The sequence below is a fragment of the Homo sapiens genome, chromosome 2 (assembly GCF_000001405.40).
Source record: "Homo sapiens chromosome 2, GRCh38.p14 Primary Assembly".
NCBI lineage: Eukaryota > Metazoa > Chordata > Mammalia > Primates > Hominidae > Homo > Homo sapiens.
The window spans coordinates 108,336,652-108,362,081 of NC_000002.12; the positions used below are offsets into that span (position 1 = coordinate 108,336,652).

At 40.6% G+C, this 25,430-nt stretch overlaps 1 pseudogene across 1 annotated transcript in view, besides 1 other annotated feature; it reads left to right on the plus strand.

The window, feature by feature from the left end:
- The window catches only part of SULT1C5P (sulfotransferase family 1C member 5, pseudogene), a 31,562-nt pseudogene extending 14,414 nt beyond the window's left edge, over positions 1-17,148 (plus strand). Inside the window, exon 4 of the transcript NR_037191.1 lies at positions 15,719-17,148. The product of NR_037191.1 is annotated as a sulfotransferase family 1C member 5, pseudogene (transcript). The remainder of the gene's footprint in view (positions 1-15,718) is intronic.
- Positions 13,440-13,499: an enhancer, noted in NCBI's record as "active region_16341". NCBI's record gives its function as "activates an Ori minimal core promoter by ATAC-STARR-seq in GM12878 lymphoblastoid cells {active_cell/tissue: GM12878}" and the evidence as "EXISTENCE:reporter gene assay evidence [ECO:0000049][PMID:35858748]".
- Positions 17,149-25,430: the final 8,282 nt, after the last annotated feature.

Consider the following 25,430-nt stretch of genomic DNA (forward strand, 5'->3'; position numbering starts at 1 on the left):
GCACAAGACAAGGATGCCCTCTCTCACCACTCCTCTTCAACATAATGTTGGAAGTTCTGGCCAGGGCAATTAGGCAGGAGAAGGAAATAAAGGGTATTCAATTAGGAAAAGAGGAAGTCAAATTGTCCCTGTTTGCAGATGACATGATTTTATATCTAGAAAACCCCATCGTCTCAGCCCAAAATCTCCTTAAGCTGATAAGCAACTTCAGCAAAGTCTCAGGATACAAAATCAATGTACAAAAATCACAATCATTCTTATACAACAATAACAGACAAACAGAGAGCCAAATCATGAGTGAACTCCCATTCACAATTGCTTCAAAGAGAATAAAATACCTAGGAATCCAACTTACAAGGGATGTGAAGGACCTCTTCAAGGAGAACTACAAACCACTGCTCAATGAAATAAAAGAGGATACAAACAAATTGAAGAACATTCCATGCTCATGGGTAGGAAGAATCAATATCGTGAAAATGGCGATACTGCCCAAGGAAATTTATAGATTCAATGCCATCCCCATCAAGCTACCAATGACTTTCTTCACAGAATTGGGAAAAACTACTTTAAAGTTCATATGGAACCAAAAAAGAGCCCGCATCACCAAGTCAATCCTAAGCCAAAAGAACAAAGCCGGAGGCATCACGCTACCTGACTTCAAACTATACTACAAGGCTACAGTAACCAAAACAGCATGGTACTGGTACCAAAACAGAGATATAGATCAATGGAACAGAATAGAGCCCTCAGAAATAATGCCACATATCTACAACTATCTGATCTTTGACAGACCTAACAAAAACACGAAATGGGGAAAGGATTCCCTATTTAATAAATGGTGCTGGGAAAACTGGCTAGCCATATGTAGAAAGCTGAAACTGGATCCCTTCCTTACATCTTACACAAAAATTAATTCAAGATGGATTAAAGACTCACATGTTAGACCTAAAACCATAAAAGCCCTAGAAGAAAACCTAGGCATTACCATTCAGGACATAGGCATGGGCAAGGACTTCATGTCTAAAACACCAAAAGCACTGGCAACAAAAGCCAAAATTGACAAATGGGATCTAATTAAACTAAAGAGCTTCTGCACAGCAAAAGAAACTACCATCAGAGTGAACAGGCAACCTACAGAATGGGAGAAAATTTTCACAACCTACTCATCTGACAAAGGGCTAATATCCAGAATCTACAATGAACTCAAACAAATTTACAAGAACAAAATAAACAACCCCATCAAAAAGTGGGGGAAGGATATGAACAGACACTTCTCAAAAGAAGACATTTATGCAGCCAAAAGACATGTGAAAAAATGCTCATCATCACTGGCCATCAGAGAAATGCAAATCAAAACCACAATGAGATACCATCTCACACCAGTTAGAATGGCAATCATTAAAAAGTCAGGAAACAACAGGTACCAGAGAGGATGTGGAGAAATAGGAACGCTTTTACACTGTTGGTGGGACTGTAAACTAGTTCAACCATTGTGGAAGTCAGTGTGGCGATTCCTCAGGGATCTAGAACTAGAAATACCATTTGACCCAGCCATCCCATTACTGGGTGTATACCCAAAGGATTATAAATCATGCTGCTATAAAGACACATGCACACATATATTTACTGTGGCACTATTCACCATAGCAAAGACTTGGAACCAACCCAAATGTCCAACAACGATAGACTGGACTAAGAAAATGTGGCACATATACACCATGGAATACTATGCAGCCATAAAAAATGATGAGTTCATGTCCTTTGTAGGGACATGGGTGAAACTGGAAACCATCATTCTCAGCAAACTATTCCAAGGACAAAAAACCAAACACCACATGTTCTCACTCATAGGTGGGAATTGAACAATGAGAACACATGGACACAGGAAGGGGAACATCACACTCCGGGGACTGTTGTGGGGTGGAGGAAGGGGGGAGGGATAGCATTAGGAGATATACCTAATGCTAAATGACAAGTTAATGGGTGCAGCACACCAACATGGCACATGTATACATATGTAACAAACCTGCACATTGTGCACATGTACCCTAAAACTTAAAGTAAAATAATAATAAAATAAAATAAAGAAAAAAAAGAAAATAAAGTGTAAGGAAGACTTGTGATCAAAAAGAGAAACGTACATCAGTAAAAAGGAAAATAAAGTGGACCCTGCAAGCTTTCTGAATCTATAAATAGGTACACAATAAACCCCATGCAGAGAAATGGAAACAGACTCTGAATGAGCCATGTGTGAAAGTGTATAAGCTTGATGGCTCAACTGCTGCCAGCCCTAGAATTCAAAGGTGGGCCATCCATAGTCATTAGCAGCTTTCAACTGTGGGCATGTCTGTTTTAGCTGACCTTAACCTCAATGAATTACAGGAGGAATGCTCTCTAGTGTATCAAGAAAACTTTGTTATTACTGTCATATTTCTTCTTCTCTTCTACTAAAGCCATCCCTTTGTTTGGCAAGTCCTGCCAGCTTCCTGTGGGTACATTTTCCCCCCAACCCTGTAACCCACACTCTTCCCTAATGCATATTCCTATGTGATGTCCAAAACCCACACAAGAGTAGTTGTTTGCACAATATTATTGTGTGTTTCAATAAAACCTCAAAATTCATATGGTCAAGCAGGAAATATAATCACACACAAAGAAAAGGCTAAGAATAGTTCATGTGATTGGTCAAAATCTAGCTCTGGGCTTATGAAAATCAAGGCAAAAAGGGAAATAGTTTCCAGGGACTTTTGAACAAATAGGAACTCTAGGTCACTAAGGGAGATAAGGCTTTTTGATCCATTTTGTCCTGTTTCACTTTCTGGTTGTTGTTTTGGCATAGAACACTCAGAGGAGTCTCACATGCACACATTAGAGACTTTGGCCAACTTCGTAGGCATGTGAACTGGTGAACACAACCCACTTCCATTTTTTCTGGCCACCTATGGGCTTAGGATTAACATGAGGATAAAGGGAGTCAGAGTCGGATCCCAGGAGAAATCAGGCACCCCTTTATGGCAGTGGACTCACCCTGCCATGCATTAGAATCATCAGAGATGGGGCCTGGACATAGATGCTTTTCTGAAGCTCGCCAGATGAGTTTCTTTATTTAAGTTCCAGGATACATGTGCAGGATGTGCAGGTTTGTTACATAGGTAAATGTGTGCTATGGTGGTTTGCTGCACCTGTCAACCCATCACCTAGGTATTAAGCCCAGCATGCATTAGCTATTATTCCTGATGCTCTCCCTCCATGCCCTGCCAACAAGCCCCTGTGTGTGTTGTTCCCCTTCCTGTGTCCATGTGGTCTCATCATTCAGCTCCCACTTATAAGTAAGGACATGCAGTGTTTGGTTTTCTTTCCCACATTAGTTTGTTGAGGATAATGGCTTCCAGCTCCATCCATGAGCCTGCAAAGCCCATGATCTTGTTCCTTTTTATGGCTGCAAAGTATTCCATTATGTATATGTAACCATATTTTCTTTCTCCAGTCTATCATTGATGGGCTTTTGGGTTGATTCCATGTCTTTGCTATTGTGAATAGTGCTGCAATGAACATATGCAAGAACGTATCTTTATAACAGAATGATTTATCTTTCTTTGGGTATATAACCAGTGATTGAATTGCTGGGTCAAATAATATTTCTAATTCTAGGTCTTTAAGGAATCACCACACAGTCATTCACAATCGTTGAACTAATTTATGTTCCCACCAGCAGTGTAAAAGCGCTCCTATTTCTCCTAAGCCTTGCACTTTCTGTTGTTTCTTGACTTTTTAGTAATTGCCATTCTGACATGAGATGGCATCTCATTGTGGTTTTGATTTGCTTTTCTGTAATTATCAGTGATGTTGAACTTTTTTCATATGTTTGTTGGCTGCATAAATGTCTTCTTTTGAGAAATGTCTCTTCATGTTCTTTGCCCACTTTTTAATGGAGTTGTTTGTTTTTTTCCTGTAAATTTGTTTACAGGAAATACCTGAATAGTATTGTCTAGATTTTCTTCTTTGTACGAGTATCATGCTGTTTTGGTTACCATAGCCTTGTAGTATAGTTTGAAGTCGGGTAGCACAATGCCTTCAGCTTTGTTCTTTTTCATTAGGATTGCCTTGGCTATTTGGGCCCTTTTTTGGTTCCATGTGAATTTTAAAACACTTCTTTTTCAAATTCTGTGAAGAATGTCAATGGTAGTTTAATGGAAATAACATTGCATGTATAGATTGCTTTGGGGAGTGTGGCAGTTTTCACAATATTGATTCTTCCTACTCATGAGCATGGAATGTTTTTCCACTTGTTTGTGTCCTCTCTGATTTCACTGAGAAGTGGTTTGCAGGTCTCCTTGAAGAGGTCATTCACTTCCCTTGTTAGCTGTATTTCTTGGTATTTTATTCTCTTTGTAGCAATTGTGAATGGGATTTCAATCCTGATTTGGCTCTCTGCTTCTCTATTGTTTGTATATAGGAATGTTAGTAATTATTGCACATTGATTTTGTATCTTAAGACTTTGCTGAGTTGCTTATCAGGTTAAGAAGCTTTGGGGCTGAGACTACGGGATTTTCTAGATAAAGGATCATGTCCTCTGCAAACAGAGACAGTTTGACTTCCTCTCTTTCTTCTATTTCTTTTATTTCTTTCTCTTGCCTGATTGCCCTGGCCAGAACTCCAGAACTTCCAATACTCTGTTGAATAGGAGTGGTGAGAGAGGGCCTCCTTGTCTTGTGCCAGTTTTCAAGTGGAATGCTTCCAGCTTTTGCCCATTCAGTATGATATTGGCTGTGGGTTTGTCATAGATAGCTCTTATTATTTTGAGTATGTTCTATCAATACCTAGTTTATTGAGAGTTTTTGACATGAAGGGATATTGAACTTTATCGAAGGTCTTTTCTGCGTCTATTGAGATAATCATGTAGTTTTTGTCTTTAGTTCTGTTAATGTGATGAATTATGTTTATTGATTTGCATATGTTGAGCCAGCTTTGCATCTCGAGGATGCAGTAGATTTGATCATGGTGGATACATTTTTTGATGTGCTGCTGGGTTTAGTTTGCCAAAACCCACATAGGAGTATTTTTTGAGTAATTTTATTGAGGATATGTGCATCAATGTTCATCAGGGATGTTGGCCTGAAGTTTTTTTTTTCTTGTATCTCTTCTAGGTTTTTGTATCAGGATGATGCAGGCCTCATAAAATGAGTTAGGGAGGAGTCCCTCCTTTTCAACTCTTTGGAACAGTTTCAGAAGAAATAGGATCAGCTCCTCTTTGTACCTCTGGTAGAATTCAGCTGTAAATCCATCTGGTCCTGGGCTTTTTTTGGTTGGCAGGCTATTAATTACTGTCTCAAATTCAGAATTTGTTATTATTCTATTCAGGGAGGAATTACTGCCTCAAATTCAGAACTTGTTATTATTCTATTCAGGGATTCAACTTCTTCCTGGTTCAGTGTTAGAAGGGTGTATGTGTCCAGGAATGTATCCATTTCTTCTAGATTTTCTAGTTTATTTGCATAAAGGTGTTTATAGTATTCACTGATGGTTGTGTGTATTTCTGTGGGATCATGGTGATATCCCCTTTATCTTTTTTTACTGTCTATTTGATTCTTCTCCTTTTCTTCTTTATGAGTCTAGCTAGCAGTCTATTTTATTAATTTTTTCAAAAAAAAAAGCTCCTAGATTTATTGATTTTTAATGGTTTTTCATGTCTCCGTCTCCTTCAGTTCTGCTCTGATCTTGTTTGTTTGTCTTCTGCGAGCTTTGGGGTTTGTTTGCTCTTGGTTCTCTAGTTCTATTAGTTGTGATGATATGGTGTTGATTTGAGACATTTCTAGCTATTTGATGTGAGCATTTAGTGCTACAAATTTCCCTCTTAACATTGCTTAGCTGTGACCCAGAGATTCTGGTACATTGTCTCTTTGTTCTCATTGGTTTCAAAGAACTTCTTGATATCTGCCTTAATTTCATTATTTACCCAGGAGTCATTCAGGAGCAGGTTGTTCAATTTCCATGTAGTTGTGTGGTTTTGAGTGAGTTTCTTAATCTTGAGTTCTAATTTCATTGCACTGTGGTCTGAGAGACTGTTACAATTTCTCCTAATTTTGCATTTGCTGCGGAATGATTAACTTCTGATTATGTGATTGACTTTAGAGTAAGTGACATGTGGTGCTGAGAATAATGTGTTATATATTCTGTTGTTTTGGGGTGGAGAGTTCTGTAGGTATTTACTAGGTCCACTTGAACCAGAGCTGATTTCAAGTCCTGAATATCTTTGTTAATTTTCTGTCTCAGTGACCTGTCTAATATTGACAGTGGGGTGTTAAAATCTCCCACTATTATTGTGTGGGAGTCTAAGTCTCTTTGTAGGTCCTAAGAACTTGTTTTATGAATCTGGGTGCTCCTTTATTGGCTGCACATTTTTTGAATACTTAGCTCTTCTTGTTGAATTAAATCTTTTACCATCATGTAATGCCCTTCTTTGTCTTTTTTGATCTTTGTTGGTTTAAAGTCTGTTTTGTCAGGAACTAGGGTCGCAATCCCTGTTTTTTTTTTTTTTTCCTGCTTTCCATTTGCTTAGTAAATTTTTCTATGTCCCTTTATTTTGAGCCTATCTGTGTCTTTGCATGTGAGATGGGTCTCTTGAATACAGCACACCTATGGGTCTTGGACTCTATCCAGAGTCCCATTCTATGTCTTTTAATTGGGGCATTTAGCACATTTACATTTAAGGTTAATATTGTTATGTGTGAATTTGATTCTGTCATCATGATGCTAACTAGTTATTTTGCAGGCTTGTGATGTAGTTGTTTTATAGTGTCATTGGTCTTTGTACTTCAGTGTGTTTCTGTAGTGGCTGGTAGTGGTTTTTCTTTTCTATATTTAGTGCTTCCTTTAGGAGCTCTTTCAAGGCAGGCCTGGTGGTAAATTCCCTCAGCATTTTCTTGTTTGAAAAGGATTTTATTTCTCCTTTGCTTGTGAAGTTTAGTTTGACCAGATATGAAATTCTGGGTTGGAAATTCTTTTCTTTAAGAATGTTGAATATTGGTCCCCAATCTCTTCTGGCTTGTAGGGTTTCTGCTGAGGGGTGTGCCGTTAGTCTGATGGGCTTTCCTTTGTATATGACCTGGACTTTCTCTCTGGCTGCCCTTAACATTTTTTTCTTCATTTCAACCTCAGAGAATCTGATGATTATGTGACTTGACGTTGATCTTCTCATGGAGTACTTACTGGGGTTCTCTGAATTTCCTGAATTTGAACGTTGGCCTATTTTACTAGATTGGGGAAGTTCTCCTGGATAATATCCTAAAATATGTTTTCCAACTTGGTTCCATTCTCCCTGTCTCCTTCAGGTACCCCAATCAGTCATAGGTTTGGCCTTTTTACATTATCCCATCATTCTCAGAGGTTTTGTTCAATCCTTTTCATTCTCTTTTCTCTAATCTTGTCTGCCTTTCTTACGTAAGCAAGATAGTCTTCAAGCTCTGAAATTCTTCCCTCCACTTGGTCTATTCTGCTATTTATACTTGTGGTTGCATGGTGAAGTTCTTGTGCTGTGTTTCTCAGCTCCATCAAGTCATTTATGTTCCTCTCTAAACTGGTTATTCTGGTTAACAGCTCTTGTAATGTTTTATCATGATTCTTAGCTTCTTTGCATTGGGTTAGAACATGCTCCTTTAGCTCAGTGAAGTTCATTACTACCCACCTTCTGAAGTCTACTTCTGTCAGTTCATCCATCTCAGCCTCAGCCCAGCTCTGTACCCTTGCTGGAGAGGTGTTGCAATCATTTGGAGAAGAAAAGAAAGACACTCTGGCCTTTTGAGTTTTCAGTGTTTTTTCATTGATTCTTTCTCATCTTCATGAGTTTATCTAACTTTTATCTTTGAGGCTGCTGATCTTTGGATGGGGTTTTTGTGGGGACTATTTTGCTGATGCTGTTTTTGTTATTGCTTTCTATTTGTTTTTCATTTAACAGTCAGATTGCTCTTCCATAGGGCTGCTGTGGTTTTCTAGGGGTCCACGCCAGACCCTATTTTCCTGGGTCCCTCCTGCACTTGGAGGTGTCACCAGTAGAGGTTGCAGAACAGCAAAGATGGCTGCCTGCTCATTCCTCTGGGAGCTCCATCCCTGAGTGGCACCAACCTGATACCAGTGGGAACAGTCCTGCATGAGGTGTCTGGTGAACCCTTTTGGGGGATTTCACCCAGTCACGAGGCACAGGATCAGGGACCCACTTATTGAAGCACCCTGGCTGCCCCTTGGCAAAGGGGGTGCACTGTGCTGGGGGGAATCCCACTCATCTGAAGGGCCCAGATTCCTCAGAGAGAGCAGGTGGAAAGACTAAGTCGGCTGATCCACTGAGATCACAGCCACCCCTCCCCTGAGCAGCTCTGTCCCAGGAACATCAGAGTTCTGTCTGTAAACCTCTGGCTGAAGTTGCTGAAATTCCCACAGGGAGGCCCTGCCTGGTGAGGAGAGATGGGTCCAGGTCCAGCCTAAAGAGGTAGTCTGGCCACAATCTGCCACAGCCACTGTGCTGTGCTGTGGGGAATTCCTCCTGGGTTCAAACTGCCCAGTCTCCCAGGCACCAGCAAGGGAAAATGGCAGACTGGAGCTGCAGTGATGGCTGCCGCCCTTTTCCGCAGGAACTCGGTAGCCTTAGGCAGTCTCTAGCCCAGTGGCTGCCGAGAATCTGCATAGCTCTGTGCTTGGGTCCCAAGGCCCTGGTGGTGTGGGCTCATGAGAAGATCTCCTGATCCGTGGGTTGCACAAATCCGTGGAAAAACTGGTTTCCCAGGCAGGGTAGAACAATCACTTCACCACCTCCCTTGGCTGGGAGTGGGGGCTCCTCTTGCCCATGCAGCTCCCAGGTGGGCCATTGCTCAACCCTGCTTATCCTCACTTTCTGTGGGTCACGCCAACTGCCTAGTCAGTTCCAATGAGAGAACCTGGATACCTCAGTTGCCAGTGCAGGATTCACTCGCCATTTTCGTTCTTCTCAGTGGGAGCCTCTGACCAAAGCTGTTTCTAGCCGGCCATCTTGGCCCCTCCCCCATGAGTTGGTTTTAACAAGAAGCCAGAGTTGAGAAAGTGGTATCAGCAATAATGCTTCCTGACTCTTTCCTTCTGGGAAAGAGAGGACACAACATCTGTGGTCACAGAAGAGGAAGAAAAATCAGAGAGGAGCCTGTTCCTTAGGTCCTTTCACCTCAACTTAGAATAGAAGATGTGGAGACGCAGCCTTACACTTCAGCTAACAAGGATTCCGCTTAGTAGATCCAGGGAAAAAAGCCACTAGTGAGGACCATAAATCCATCACAAATATAAGAGGAAATCCACATAGAGATGTTGTTTTGAAATGGAACTACTGGTTTCAGTACAAAATAAAATACTATGTTGCTACCAGTTAGCCTTATAAAACTATAAACCACAACAAAGATTTTTTTTAAACAAATGTTTAGCCATTTCCTCATTCAAGTGCACATTTTACACTGGCATCCTGCCCACCTATCTACCAGTGTGACCACTGGGTTATTCCTCTGAACAAAGGCCAAGGCACGAATGCCGGAGCTATAGGAGCAACATGTGAACAGGCTACTTAGGTAGACTCCTAGTGATAAAACGCTCCAAAAATGAAAGCAAAGTGTTTACATCTGGGTCACAGGTTTGGCTCTCCTTTGGCATATTAGGCTAAAAACTCAGGGAAGCAGGTTTGGTTTCTAGAGAGAATAGGCAGAGATGAAGAGAGAGATGGTGGTGGCACTAGGCAGAAGGGCCCAAGGAGAGGAAATGGAAATCTGGAGAATGAAGATGGTGAGGACTTGGAAAGATGTGCATGGCCAAAAGAGGCAGCTGAGGACAATGAGAATCAGGAAGACCCAGGAAAGAGTCAAACCAATAAGCAAGCAAAAGAAGTCTGGAGGCAACATTTGGCCAGAACAAGCAAATAAAGCACTGCTGAACAGCCATCAGGAAAACATCTTGGTGAGGAGTTGCAACGGAGGAGCGACGGGAGGTTGAGGGGAGCAACAGGGGAGTCCTATTAAGAGTTGGTGCCTTCTATACCCATATTCCTCTATGCATCCAGCTGTGGAAAAGGCAGAAAATAAATAGTCACAACTCAAAAGAAGGAAGTCTAGAGGAAATGAGCAGAACAAGATCTGGGATTCCAGCTTCCCAAATTGAGAAAGGAAACCCCTGCTCTAAAGCCAATGCTGGAGTAAGAGAAGAATCCTCAGACCACGTAGAAAAGGCGGGGGAGGAGGTAGATGAGCACTGAAGAATGAGGTCAAGGATCCTAAGCAGGACCCAAGATTAATAAAATGAACAATAGACCCACCTCACAGATAACGGTTTCACTCATTCTGCCTCTTTTGCAGCTCAGTCATCTGTCCAAAGGGAGTATCTCACACAGTGCCACTGACAAGAACAAGGGATTTGGGAGGAGAAGGAGAAACACACAAAACAGCTGTAGTACATAGATAAGAGGGAGAAACAAGGTTAAAAAGGAAAAGGAATCATCTGACTTTTTAAGTTTTATTTTGTTTATAATTGACAATAATTGTACATATTTATGGGGTACAGTGTGACATCTCAATATATGAATAATTATCTAATGATCAAATAAGAGTAGTTAGGATATCCATCACCTCAAACACTTGTCATTTATTTGTGGTGAGAACATTCAAAATCCTCTCTTCTAGACATTTTGAAATACACAATACGTTATTGTCAACTATAATCACCCTACTCTGCAACAGAACACCAGAACTTATTCCTCCTATTTAACTTCAACCTTGTTCTCGTTGACAAATCTCTCCCCAAGCTCCCCTACCTCACCTTCTTACCAGTTTCTGGTAACCACTATCACACTCTCTATTTCTATGAGATGAACTGTTTTAGATTCCACATATGAGTGAGATCATGCAGTATTTGTCCTTCTGTGCTTGACTTATTTCACTTCACGTAACATCCTCTAGTTAATCCATGATGTCACATGTGACAAGATTTTATTCTTTTTATGGCTCCATAATATTCCGTTGTGTATATATAACACATTTTTAAATCTATTCATCCATTAAAGGACACTTACGTCGCTTCTATCTCTTGGCTATTGTGAATAGTGCTGCAATAAACATGGGACTGCAGATATCTCTTTAACATACTGATTTCATTTCCTTTGGCTACATACCCAGCAGTGGGATTGCTGGGTCATATGGTAGTTCTATTTTTAATTTTTTGAAGAACCCCCATATTGTTGTTTATAATGGCTGCACTAATTTACATTCCCGCTAAAGGTGTGGAGAAAGGGAAACTCCCCTGGCTTTTGGTAGCACTGTGATGCCCATCCCCACCCCAGTCTCCTCGCCTCCTGCCCCTCCCCCATGCTGGAATTTCCCCAATCTGCCTGAGCATGGGCTCCCCTTTCTCCACATCCCCGCCAGCATTTGTTATTTTTTGACTTTTTGGTAATGCAGAGAAATTGAAAGGGTGAAATGAAAACAAAAAGAAAATGGCATTCACACAGTCAACCTTTATTTGTCTACTGCAGTAAAACTTGATGAACCTGCTTTATAGAGTAGAAGACGGCTGGGTTCTAGTATGGACTCTCCAGCATTGGCTATGTACCCTTCAGCTGGTGCCTTACCATCTCCAGTCCTAGTTTTCTCATCTCTGTGCAATATCTGGTGGCCTGAATGTAAGCAGGGGTCCTTCCCAATGCTACCACCCTGTGGGTCTACAGAACCACAAATACTTACTTCAAACACTTACCACCCCTCTTCTACTGTACCAATGAGTTCACTCTATTCTCATTCTCTAATTTGCCCACATTTAACCAAGGATAGAGACAATAAGTCATTCATGCAGTGAGGATTATAGTTAGTAATGTTGTATTGTATACTATGAATTTGCTAAGAGAACAGATTTTAGGTACTCTTTCCAAAATAATTTTTTTAACCTATGTGAGATGATTGATGATGTTAATTTGTTTGACTGTAGTAACCACTTCACTGTGTGTATCAAAATATTATGTTGTATACCTTAAATACATGTGATAAAAAAGAGAGAAGGGGAAAAAGTCACTCATGCAGGGAGATTCATGCAGTTAGAGATTCTGTACAAATTTCACTTGAAATTCCTTAATCAAAATTTAGGATACAACACAAGGTTATCTAATTTGGAATAGAATGAGGCAAAGAATTATCTCCATGGAAGCTAAAGCCTTTTTAGTTTTTACCCTCATCTTTCTAAGAAAGGAACTATGGGAGAAGCTGAAGGCATCTGTGGCAGCATAAGCAGGAGAAAGAGAAGTTCACTATTTATCATTTCAGATATTGTGTCTTCAACACATGACCTTCTCATAAACTCTGGTGTGACACAGCATTTTCCAGATGCGCCTGGTTGGTTTCTAATTCCCACCCATTTGCCTCCCTCCAGACAGACTGAATCTGACTCTCAGGGCAGCAGCCTGGGCATGCACCTAAGCACCTGAGAGGATTCCCATGCTCAGGCAGACTGGGAAAACACAGCATGGGGAAGGGGCATGAGATGAGGAGACTAAGGATGGGCATCACAGTGCGGCCAAGAGCCTGAGGATGCTGGCAGGTTACCTTGTCTCTCCACCTAGGTTTCTCATCCACAAATGAGCTCCTTGGCCATGCTTTCTGCCCAAAGGCTGAAACTCTAAGAAAGCAGGGACTGTGTCTGCCTTTTCACTGCATTATCGTCCTCTGCATTTGGCAAGTTTTCAGCAAGCACCTGTCGGATGGATGGATGGATGGATGGATGCAGGGATGGATGCAGGGATGCATGATGAATTCATGGGAGAGTTAGTGAGACAGCACATCAGATGTCTGTATACATAAGAATTGAGACATCTCATGGATGAGCATAATCTGGTCACTGTGCCTCTGGCAGAGGAGCAGCAGAGCCATCCGTAGAAGGTGTGGTGTCTGACATTCAGAAGTGTGTCCCACTAAACCCCAGCTTGACTCAACCAAGAGCCCTGTGGAAGCCCTGTGGAAGCCCCGCTCTCATCACGGGGTAGGTAGAAGCCAAAGCCAGGAAAATGCAAGTCACTCAAGTAGTCCCATTAGAACACAGAAACAAGTGAGACTTGTCATCATTTAGACTGGTACACTTAGGACCTGGCTATATCTTGATTCAAGAAAAAATCATGATGACATGAGAAGAAAGAACTATCATGAATAACACAAGATATGTTAGCAAATATTATTATCTTAGGATCTTTGCTTGAGTCAAAATATATAGGAACTCTTAGAATCAGCACAGTTTCTGGCACTTTCCACCCATGGTACACCCAGAAAGAGCCAGAGAAAACAACTCACCTTCTACTTCTCCTCAGAGAGAAAGAGAGCAAAATCCAGGGCAAATAATTGTCCTGTTTTCCAGATAGGCTCAGCAGACAGTTCCACAGACAGGAATACAAAAGGACAAAAAGCCAGGGGGGTCTTGTGGGTCTGTGGCCGGGCTGAGGCTCTCAGAAGCAGCAGGGCATGGTGCTGAACCGGCCTTCCAGGCTCCAGGGCGGTTGTCTTTACCCACTAGATGGCATCTTTGGCTAGATTATCCGCCTCGTAGTCCTTCTATATCATCTGGGAGAAGTAGGTTGGTGATTTACCTTATCACTGGGTTGTTGGAGGCATTAAATAAGTTAATGTGTATAAAGTGCCTGGCACGTAATATGGGCTTAATTGGTATAGTTATTTAGGTATTGCCAGATTTTTTTATTTTTGAGGAGTGCAGGGGTGCAATCTTGGCTCACCGCAACCTCCATCTCCCAGGTTAAGTCAGAGTGTGATTCTCTTGAGTAGCGGGGATTATAGGCATGCACCACCATGCCAGGCTTTTTTTTTTTTTTTTTTTTTGAGATGGAGTCTCGCTCTGTCACCCAGGCTAGAGTGCGATGGTGCAATCTCGGCTCACCGCAACCTCCGCCTCCTGGGTTCAAGTGATTCTCCTGTCTCAGCCTCCCGAGTAGCTGGGATTACAGGCATGCGCCACCACGCCCAGCTAATTTTTGTATTTGTAGTAGAGAAGAGGCTTCACAATATTGGTCAGGCTGGTCTGGAACTCGTGACCTCAGGTGATCCACCCGCCTCAGCCTCCCAAAGCGCTGGGATTACAGGCGTGAGCCACTGCGCCCAGCCTAATTTTTGTATTTTTAGTAGAGACAGGGTTTCACCCTGTTGGCCAAGCTGGTCTCAAACTCCTGACCTCAAATGATCCACCCACCTTGGCCTTCCAAAGTGCTGGGATTACAGGTGTAAGCCACTGCGCCCAGCATCAGATATTTTATTCATGAGAGACATTCTCACATGCTGGAAACATTGTAGGTTTAAAGCTGACATTCCTTGGTTTGAAATAAAGCTGCCATTAAAAGGCTATTTTGTATTTGGAAAATTACTTAACCATTATTTTAAATAACACTGCTTAATACATAGGGTTTAAATTTGGAATAACGTAAAAGAAAATAACTCAGGCACCCATCACACATGACAGGAGATCCAGTATTCTCCTCAATGTATTGGGTTTGTCTGTAGTTAACAGAAAATCCAGTGGTTAAAACAAGATAAAACTTTGATAGAAGTTTATTAATCTCTAATATTAAATCCAGATTTAGCTGCCCAGGGTTGGCCTAAACAGCCCCCTATGAAGATGTTTCAAAACCAACAATTTACTCCTGTCTGCAACAATAAAATACCAAGGAAAAGAAAAGGAGGATGCTCAACAGGTAAATCTCTCTGAGACTTCCAAGGACTCCAGTGGAGGGAAGAAGAAGTGGAGATGGAGGGAGCTACTATTCTGCAGCCAATTCAATCCCCAATCCCCTTTGCCTGCCTGCCACTTGTCCTACATATTTTGGACCACGTGCTTGCCCCTCTTAAGCCAAATAGAGAACAACCTCCCCGCAATGCCAGAGAACCACAAATGCAAAACTATTATAGCAGACCTTTGCTGAAGATCGGGACAAATCTAAGGTACTTGCATCAAATAAGAAGAAATAAAATATAACACAGACCTCATTATTCTTCAATTCATCAGTCAATAATTGCTGGAAAATTCCTTACCCAGTCCTCTTCCTCTTGGGTCCCTGGCTTGCTGCCATTTCTCTCGCTCTGCTAAGACCTTCTCTCCATTCTTTCTTTCCCAAGTTCAGGACCCCAATCTTCTCCCTTTCTTCTTAGACTACTTTGAGGTAAGGTAAAATGTCTATGGCTAATTATATACAACAGAAACAAGGCCAAAGGCTGGCAAATATAAAGGAGAGGATTCCAGAGAGGGTGGCTTTCACTCAGAGAAAATAAAGATTATTTAAAATATGGTCTCTTAAGATAAGCAGACCCATGTGGGAACATCTTTCTGCAAAGAGAGAAGCCACAACAAATCTCAGGGGTTACACCCAGCTGCCCTGCTTAGACAGGATGCAAGCTACAGACTTTCTCAATTTATCCTGGCAAAAGAGGCACTCATGGGAGGAGACAGGACAAGGGCAGCTCAACTGGAAGTGGTAGCCTAGGCTGATGAAACTTTGTTTCTCTGTGGTCTGCCTGGCTCCCTTTCACTGCTGCTTCCAGCCAAGTAGGGACTCCATTTTCCTCTTGCTCCTTCCCAGCATTTCTTCTACTTTTTCCTATTTTCTGCCTCCTCGACACTTTCGTTAGATGGGCCATTTTCACTACAAATTGACAATCTCTTTCTGTATTTTTGTTCCAGTGTCCAAGAGGGAGAATCTGAGACCCACTTTCCTGAGGTCATCCAATCCCCTCCCATCTTATCAGGGGTATGGTATGGCAGCTGTGGCAGAGGGATGGAGGAGAGGAGACACCAGAGGGAAAAAAAAAACGCAAATCCTGTTCACCCAGGAGGTCAACAATGGAAGGAATACAGAGGAGAAAGCACCAGGAGGGTGTAGCAGGCATACCCCGAGATGAAGAGGGGTTTGGGCGAAGTTGGATGTGCAAACAACTCAACCCCACCATGACATGAAGGAGGCCACCGTGTGAGCACAGGGCCTGGAACAATGGGTGTAATGAGTTACTGCCACGTCAGAGAAATTGGTTGCTCCTGTTGATATGGTTTGACTGTGTCCCCACCCAAATCTCATCTTGAATTGTACTTCCCATAATCCCCACATGTTGTGGGACGCACCCGGTGGCAGGTAATGGAATCATGGGTGGTTGCCTCCATGCTGTTCTCATCATAGTGAGTTCTCATGGGATCTGATGGTTTTCTAAGGGGCTTTTCCCCTTTTTCTCAGCACTTCCTTTTGCTGCCATCATGTGAAGAAGGATATGTTTGCTTCCCTTTCCACCATGATTGTAAATTTGCTGAGGCCTCCCCAGCCATGCGGAACTGTGAGTCAGTTAAACCTCTTTTCTTTATAAATCACCCAGTCTCAGGTATGTCCTTATAGGAGCCTGAGAACAGACTAATACACCTGTCAATGCCAAAATGATATATTTTGGTGGATTTAAAATTAGCAAAGCCAGCCTGCCCAACCACAAACACCTCCATCTCAGGCACATGGTACTGCTTTAAATAAATATCAGTAGGACATGAAAGGTTGGGTCTGAAAAGTCATCACCTACCTAACTTCCTCAGATTCCTACCTTTTTTTATATTAATCTTGAAGCTTGCTCTCCCTATCTAATTTTGTATAGATTTAGGAATGTTAAAGTGTGTGGATAGGCTGATGCTATAGGTTGCTTCTAGGGGAGGAATCTGCCAAGAGATACTGACCCCTGACCCTAGTCATAGACTGTTCTCACTTCACGGTAAGTCAATAAAATGATAGCTTTCCTGTTTGAGGGATGCCCAAATTCTTTGCAAAATCTAATTACAAGTCTGAATAGGCAGTAAAATTTGTTCTTGCTATTTATATAATTGTAAACTTTAACTCAGAAATGGACATTATAAGCTGTTCTCAGAGTATCCAAAGATCAGGTTGGCACCAACAGGTCCCGAGTAAGTCAGGTTTTCTTCACCCCTCCCTGTGTCCCTCTGGGGACCGAGCACGTCCAGGGAGCAAGGAGCAGACCAGTCAGCAAAATGTAAAACCTGTCTTAACCTGGAAGGTGGGGCTGTCTTATCCACATTTGGCTCCACCTCTGAGCTAACTTCTGATTAAAGCTGATCTAAGGAAAGGACTGTGGTCTTCTGTGTGTTGGGAGTCCCCTGGTCATGGCAGCCTACCCACACTGTGGCATCTTTAGATCTATACAAAGTCAGATGGGGGGACTTTGAAGATCTATACAAAGTCAGATGGGGGGGCTTTGAGATCAATCGGAGGCTTCTATGGCCATGGATGCTGTGAGGCAGGTGAAAAAGAGATTAAGGACACTAGCCTAAGATAATACTTCTAATAACGAGAACTAAAAATATTAATAGTATTAATAATGAGTATTAAAAGTATTAATACTTTTAATAATGAGTATTACAGGTTCACAGCTGACTCTGTAGACCTAGTGCCAGATACTGGAGAGGAAAGGAGGAATCAGACACAGCCCCTACCCTCGAGGTGCTTCTGTGGGGAGACACAGAATGAACTATAAGTCTCGTTCTTGCTTTTATTTTCTCTCTGATCACTGGGCATTGAAATGGTTAGGCAACATGCAGAATTCTAATTTTACGTAACCCAATGTGAGTACTAAAATCTTTTGACACCAAGTCCTGTGTTACTAAGGATTGTCTTAAAACAGAACTTTGGAATTGCAACACACATTCTCACATATAACTGTTTTGTTTTGAAAACATCAGGAAGGGGGAGCATGTGGCAATTTGCTGGTCTCTCCTTACAGAGAAATGAATATGAGTCTTCTCACCACGTTTTGGGTCTGTTTCTTAATGCACAATTTCATGATTTCGATAAATAAGCATATGCCTTAGGAGCTGAGGAGAGTATAAAGGTGAGAAGCTTCTAGATTCTGCCCTTAAGGAGCTCAAACTCTGGACCCAGAAATAGCAAACTAATACTGCTTGGAGTAACATCATGGCTGTGGGAGCCAGGCTAAACTCCACCTAGGGAAAATGCCTTGGTCTCAAAGACAAAATTCCACCTAGCTCTCCACTTAGAGCAGAGGTTTCCAACTAGTGGCTTTTAGGTTGAATATGGCTTGCAGATGTGCTGTTTTTAAAAAATTTTGAATTAGTTGTCAACATGTAAAAGTCAGGAGATGTTCCATAAACTCCCAATTTCTGGCACCAATGGCACCCAGAGCTCCATGGCCTCCTGCTATAAATGGGGCTGGCACTCACCAGATGCCAACAAGTTCACTCCACCTGCTTACTGCCCTGCCCCTGCAGGCATTGGGGTTGCGACTCTAACAAACTATGTGGCTCAGAGTTCGTGATTGAAATGCATAAATCCTATCTAGAAGGACACAGACTTTAACAGGACCCATGCAGGAAAGGGGATCCAAAGCCTTGGAGCCAGGGAATTGTGCCAGCCAGTGGAGGCACACTACTGAATAATAATCTTCAGATTAATAAAATCACCCGTTTCCATGTACTTTATTTTATTTTATTTCAGATTTTTGTTTCCCTTTAATAAAGTTAGTTTTGAAAAACTTTCTCAACTTAAGTTAGAGAAAGGCAAATTTGGTATGATGATAGCCATTAAGGAGAAAATGCAGAGATAAAGGAGTGATCAAACTTCGTCAGGAGAAAGTGCTGAAGTGCAGTTGCTCTGCTGACCCATCCTCACACACAAACCACAGGCTCTTCTTAGAGGTCTTTTCTTTTTTTTTTTTTGAGATGGAGTCTCGCTCTGTCACCAGGCTGGACTGCAGTGGCTCAATCTCGGCTCACTGCAACCTGCGCCTCCCGGGTTCAAGTGATTCTCCTGCCTCAGCCTCCTGAGTAGCTGGAACTACAGGCTCCCGCCACCAGGACCGGCTAATTTTTTGTATTTTTAGTAGAGACGGGGTTTCACCATGTTAGCCAGGATGGTCTCGATCCCCTGACCTCGTGATGCGCCCGCCTCAGCCTCCCAAAGTGCTGGGATTACAGGCGTGAGCCACCGCACCTGGCCAACAATGTTTTATGGTTTCATTTCTTAATATTTATTCTTTTCAATGCTATAATAAATGGAATTATTTTCTCAATTGAATTTTTGGATTGTTCATTATTAGTGTAAAGAAATATGAATTTTTGTATATTGATCATGTAATCTGCAACTTTGCTAAATTTATTTATTAGCTCTAATAGTTCTGAAGGGATTCATTAGGGTTTTCTGTATACAGTCGTGCCTTGCATAATGATGGGGAAATGTCTGAGAAATGTGTCATTAGACAATTTTGTCACTGAGTGAACATCATAGAGTGTACTTACATAAACCTGGATGGTATATCCTTCTCCATTACATAGCTCCATTATAATCTTATGGAACCACTCTCATATATGCAGTCCATTGTTGACCAAAATGTCATATGGCTCATGACGATATAAGATCATGTCATATGCAAATAGAGATAGTTATACTTCCTCCCTTCCAATCTGGATATCTTTTTCTTATGCAAGTTTTGTGACTAGGGCCTCAAGTGCAATGTTGATTAGAAATAGTGAGAGCAGACATCCTTGCCTCATTCCAGATTTTAAAAGCAAATATCTCTCTTTCACCATAAGTATAATGTTACCTGTGGGACTTTCATAAGTGCCCTTTATAAGAATCAACAAGTTCCCTTCTATTCCTACATGGGTGAGTGTTTTTATCATGGAAATATGTTGGATTTTGTAATGTGACTAACAGATCTGCATTCATTTCCTATGGCTGCAAAACCCTCAACAAATTAACACAAACTTGGTGGCTGAAAACAATACATATTTACTCTTTTACAGAGGCCAGACATGTAAAATCAGTTTCACTGGGCCGAGATCAAGGTTGCAACAGGGCTGGGCTCCCTCCAGAGGCCCTAGGAGACAATTTGTACCTTGCCTCTTCTAGCTTGTGGTAGCTACTGGCATACCTTGTCTTGTAGCCACATCACTCTAATCTGCCTCCATGGTCACACTGCCTTCTTATTTTCTGTGGACAAATCTCTGTCTCCCTCTTATAAGGATACATGTGATTGCACTTAGTGACCACCCAGAATCCAGGAAAATCTTCTCAAGATCCTTAATTTAATCACATCTTCAAACTCCTTTTTGGCACACAAGGTAGTATTTTCAGGTTCCAGAGATTAGAACATGGAAATCTTTAAGAAGACCATTATTCAGTCTAGAACATCTTCTATTACTAATTTGTTTTATTTTGTTCATGAAAAGATGTTGGATTTTGTCAATTGCTTTTTCTACATTGATTAAGAAAATTACGTGTTTTCAAATTATTAATAATTCTGTTAATATTGTACATTACATTGATTTTGATATGTTGAATCAATCCTGCATTCCTGGAATAAATCCCACTTCATCATGGTGTATAATCATTTCTCTGTGCTGCTGGATTCAGTTTATTTTTTTTTTTTTTGAGGATTTTGCATTTATATTAATAAGGAATATTGGTCTATAGTTTTCTTTGCACGTTATGTATTTCTCTGGCTTTGGTATTAGGGTAATGTTGGCCTTATAGAATGAAGTAGAAAGTGTTCTCTCTCTTTCTAATTTTTGGAAGAGTTTGAGAAGAATTGGTGTTTATTCTGTGAATATTTGGTAGAATTCTCTATTGAAGCCATCTGAACATGAGTTTTTTTCTTTGTTGGAAGTTGTGTCATGACTGACTTCTTTGCTTATTATAGATTTATTTAGATTTTCTATTTCTTCATTAGTCAGTTTCAGGAGGATGTGTGTTTCTAGCAATTTGACCATTTAATCTAGGTTATTTAACTTGGCACAAAATTTTTCATAGTTTTGGTTATTTGAGTCTTCCCTCTTTCTTTCTTGGTCAGTCTCACTAAAGACCTGTCAATTTTGTTGATATTTTCAAATAACCAAATTTTGGGGTCATTGATTCTATTGTTTTTCTATGTTCTATTTCATTTATCTCCACACTAATCTTTAATATTTTCTCCCTTCTTCTTGCTTTAGGTTTAGTGTGCTCTTGTTTTTCTAATTTCCTATGGTAGAAAGTTAGGTAATTCGATTTGAGATCTCCCTTTTTAATGTAGGAATTTATAGCTATAAATTTCCCTCTGATCACTACTTTTCCTGCTTCTCATAAGTTTGAGTATGTTGTGTTTTCAGTTTCTTTTATAGTACAGTATTTTCTAATTTCCCTTGTGAATTTCTCAGTGACCCATTGGTTATTCAAGAGTGTGTTGTTTAATTCGCACATACTTGTAAATTTTCCAAATTTCCTTCTGTTATTGATTTCTAATTTCATTTTATTGTGGTTGGAGAATATATTTACCTGGTGTCAATCCTTTTAAATTTACTGAGGCTTTTTTTGTGATCTATCATACAGTCTATCTTGGAGAATGTTCCATGTGCACTTGAGAAGAATGTGCATCATGTTGTTGGCTAGAGTGTTCTATAGATATGTTAGGCCTAATTGGTTTACAGTGTTTTTCAAGTCTAATTTTTTTTTAACTAATCTTCTATCTAGTTATTATGTTAATTACTGGAAATAGAATATTGAAGTCTCCAACTATCACTGTTGAACTGTCTTTTTCCCTAAATTATGTCAGGTTTTGCTTCATGTATCTTGGGGCTCTGTTGTTAGGTGCAAATATATATATATTTTTTGTTTGTTTGTTTGTTTTTGAGACGGAGTCTCGCTCTGTCGCCCAGGCTGGAGTGCAGTGGCGCGATCTTGGCTCACTGCAACCTCCACCTCCCAGGTTCACGCCATTCTCCTGCCTCAGCCTCCTGAGTAGCTGGGACTACAGGCGCCCGCCACCATGCCCAGCTAATTTTTTGTATTTTTAGTAGAGATGGGGTTTCATCGTGTTAGCCAGGATGGTCTCCATCTCCTGACCTCATGATCTGCCCTCCTCGGCCTCCCAAAGTGCTGGGATTACAGGTGTGAGCCACCGCGCCTGGCTCTATTTTTCCTTTTCTACACCTGCGCTCCACACACTTCTGTGACCAGGGATTGAAGGGATGTCAGGGAATACTCTGACACCAGCAAATGGACACCAAAAGTGAGCAGGGTAGCTATTCTTGTATCAGACAAAACAAACGTGAAAGCACAGCAGTTAAAAGAGACAAAAAGGGACATTATGTAATGGTAACAAGCCTTATCCAACAGGAAAATATCACAATCCTAAACATATATGCACCTAACACTGGAGCTCTCAAATTTATAAAACAACTACTAATAGGGTTAGTAAATGAGATAGACAGCAACACAATAATAGTAAATGAGATATACAGCAACACAATAATAGTTGGGGACTTCAATACTCCACTGACAGCACTACACAGGTCATTAAGACAGAAAGTCAACAGAGAAACAATGGATTAAAAATATACTTTGGAACAAACGGACTTAACAGATATATACAGAACATTTCATCCAACAACCACAGAATACACATTCTATTAAACAGTGCATGGAACTTTCTCCAAGGTTAGACCATATAATAGGCAAAAAAATGAGCTTCAATAAATTTAAGAAAATTGAAATTATATCAAGCATTCTCTCAGACCACAGTGGAATAAAACTGGAAATCAACTTCAAAAGGGACCTTCAAAACCAAGCAAATACATGGAAATTAAATAAACTGCTCCTGAACAAGCATTGCATCAAAAAAGAAATCAGCATGGTAATTTAAAAATTCTTCAAACTAAACAACAATAATGACACAACCTATCAAAACCTCTGGGATACAACAAAGGCAGTGCTAAGAGGAAAGTTCATAGCCATAAATGCCTACATCAAAAAGACTGACAGAGCACAAACTGACCTTCTAAGGTCACACCTCAAGGAACTAGAGAAATAAGAACAAACTAAATCCAAACCCAGAAAAGGAAATGAAATAACCAAGATCAGCACAGAACTAAATGAAATTGAAACAAAGAAAAACAATACAAAAGATAAATGAAACAAAAAGCTAGTTCTTTGAAAAGATACATAAAATTGATAGACCATTAGCAAGATTAACCAAGAAAAGAGAAGGCCGGGTGTCATGGCTCATTCCTGTAATCCCAGCACTTTGGGAGGTTGAGACAGGCAGATTACCTGAGGTCAGTAGTTAGAGACCAGACTGGCCAACATGGTGAAACCCTGTCTCTACTAAAAATACAAAAATTAGCTGGGCATGATGGCAGGTGCCTGTAATCCCAGCTACTCGGGAGGCTGAGGGAGGAAAGTCACTTGAACCCGGGAGGTGGAGATTGCAGTGAGCTCAGATTGCGCCATTGCACTCCAGCCTGGGCAACAAGGGCGAGACTTCATTAAAAAAAAAAAAAAAAGAGAGAGAGAAAATCCAAATTACCTCACTAAGAAACGAAATAGGAGATATTACAACTGACACCACTGAAATATAAAATATCATTCAAGGCTATTATGAACACCTTTATGCACACAAACTAGAAAACCTAGAAGAGATGGATAAATTCCTGGAAAAATAAAACCCTCCTAGCTTAAATCAGGAAGAATTAGATACCCTGAACAGACCAATAACAAGCAGCAAGATTGAAATGGTAATTTAAAAATTAACAACAAAAAACAGTCCAGGGCCAGATGGATTCACAGGAGAATTCTACCAGACATTCAAAGAAGAATTGGTACCAATCCTTTTGAGCCTATTCCACAACACAGAGAAAAAAGAAACCCTCCCTAATTCATTCTATGAAGACAGCATCACCCTAAATAACAAAACCAGGGAAGGACATAACCAAAAAAGAAAACTACAGACCAATATCCTTGTTGAACATAGATGTTAAAATCCTTAACAAAATACTATCTAACCAAATCCAACAACATATCAAAAAGATAATCCACCATGATCAAGTGGGCTTCACACCAGGGATGCAGGGATGGTTTAATATATGCAAGTCAATAAATGTGATACACCACATAAACAGAATTAAAAACAAAAATCACATGATCATCTTGATAGATCCAGAAAAAGCATCCAACAAAATTCATCATCCCTTCATGATTAAAACTCTCAGCAAAATTGGCATAGAAGGGACATACTTCAATGTAATTAAAGCCATCTATGACAAATCCACAGCCAATCTAACACTGAATGGAAAAAAAGTTGAAAGCGTTCTCTCTGAGAATGGGAATGAGACAAGGATGCCCATTCTCACCACTCCTCTTCAACATAGTACTGGAAGTCCTGGCCAGAGCAATCAGACAAGAGAAAGAAATAAAGGGCATCCAAATCGGTAAAGAGGAAGTCAAACTGTCACTGTTTGCTGATGATAGGATTGTTTACCTTGGAAACCCTTAAGACTCCTCCAGAAAGCTCCTTGGTACTTCAGAATATGTTAGATCTTGACCTGCCAGGGTGTGTCCAGAGGAAGGTAACTGAAGTGACAGGGATCTTAAAATTATGTAGCATAAGAAACATTTAAAGAATCTTGGAAAAAAGTAGACTTGGGGAAGATATAATTCTTCAACTGTTTAAAAAGTTGTCATGAAAAGCAGAATGAGCTTATTCTATATGGCTCCAATGAACAAGAGGTGGACAATGGATGGATGCTGCAGTGAGGAGTTTAGCTCAGGATAAGAAAAAAGTTCTAAAAATAGAGCTGATAAAAATGGAATAGACAACCTGTTAGGTGGTGATAACTAGGCTGAAAAAGTATAACAGCAACTATAGAGATGTGGTAGAGGAGATTCTTACACCATCTGGGAAGTAGGACTAGGATTAGAACACTTGCAAATGTCCTTTCCAACTCTAAGGTTTAAGATTCTGGACTCTGGCTCCCATCTTCCCCCACTCCAACTTTTTTTTGTTTTTTTTTGGCTTTTTTTTTTTCACTATAGTTAGAATGATTTGTCTAAATCAGAACTCTGATTTTCTCACTTTTCCACTTAAATCCCTTCAGTAGCTTGCCATTTTCCTTAGGATGAAGTTAAAATGCTTCAGCATGACCCTACTCCTTCAGTCTATTCCTCTTGCTTCCCACCTACCACCACCACTGGTGGATCACCTCTGCATCATTACATACCTTTCTCCTACCTCAAGAAAATAGAAAAATAAGAGTACACCAAACCTAAAGCAAGAAGAAGGGAGAAAATAGTAAAGATTAATGTGGAGATAAAAGAAATAGAACATAGAAAAACAATTGAATCAGTGACCCCAAAAGTTGGTTCTTTGAAAGTATCAACAAAATTAACAAACCTTTAGAGAGACTGACCAAGAAAAGTAGAGAAGATTCAAATTACTAACACCAGAGATAAAAGAGATACCACATCTTTCATACTACTGAATTCACAGAAATAAAAGGATTAGAAGAGAAAACTATGAACAAATTTATACCAAGCTAGATAACCCAGAAGAAATGGCCAAATTGCTAGACATACACATGCTAC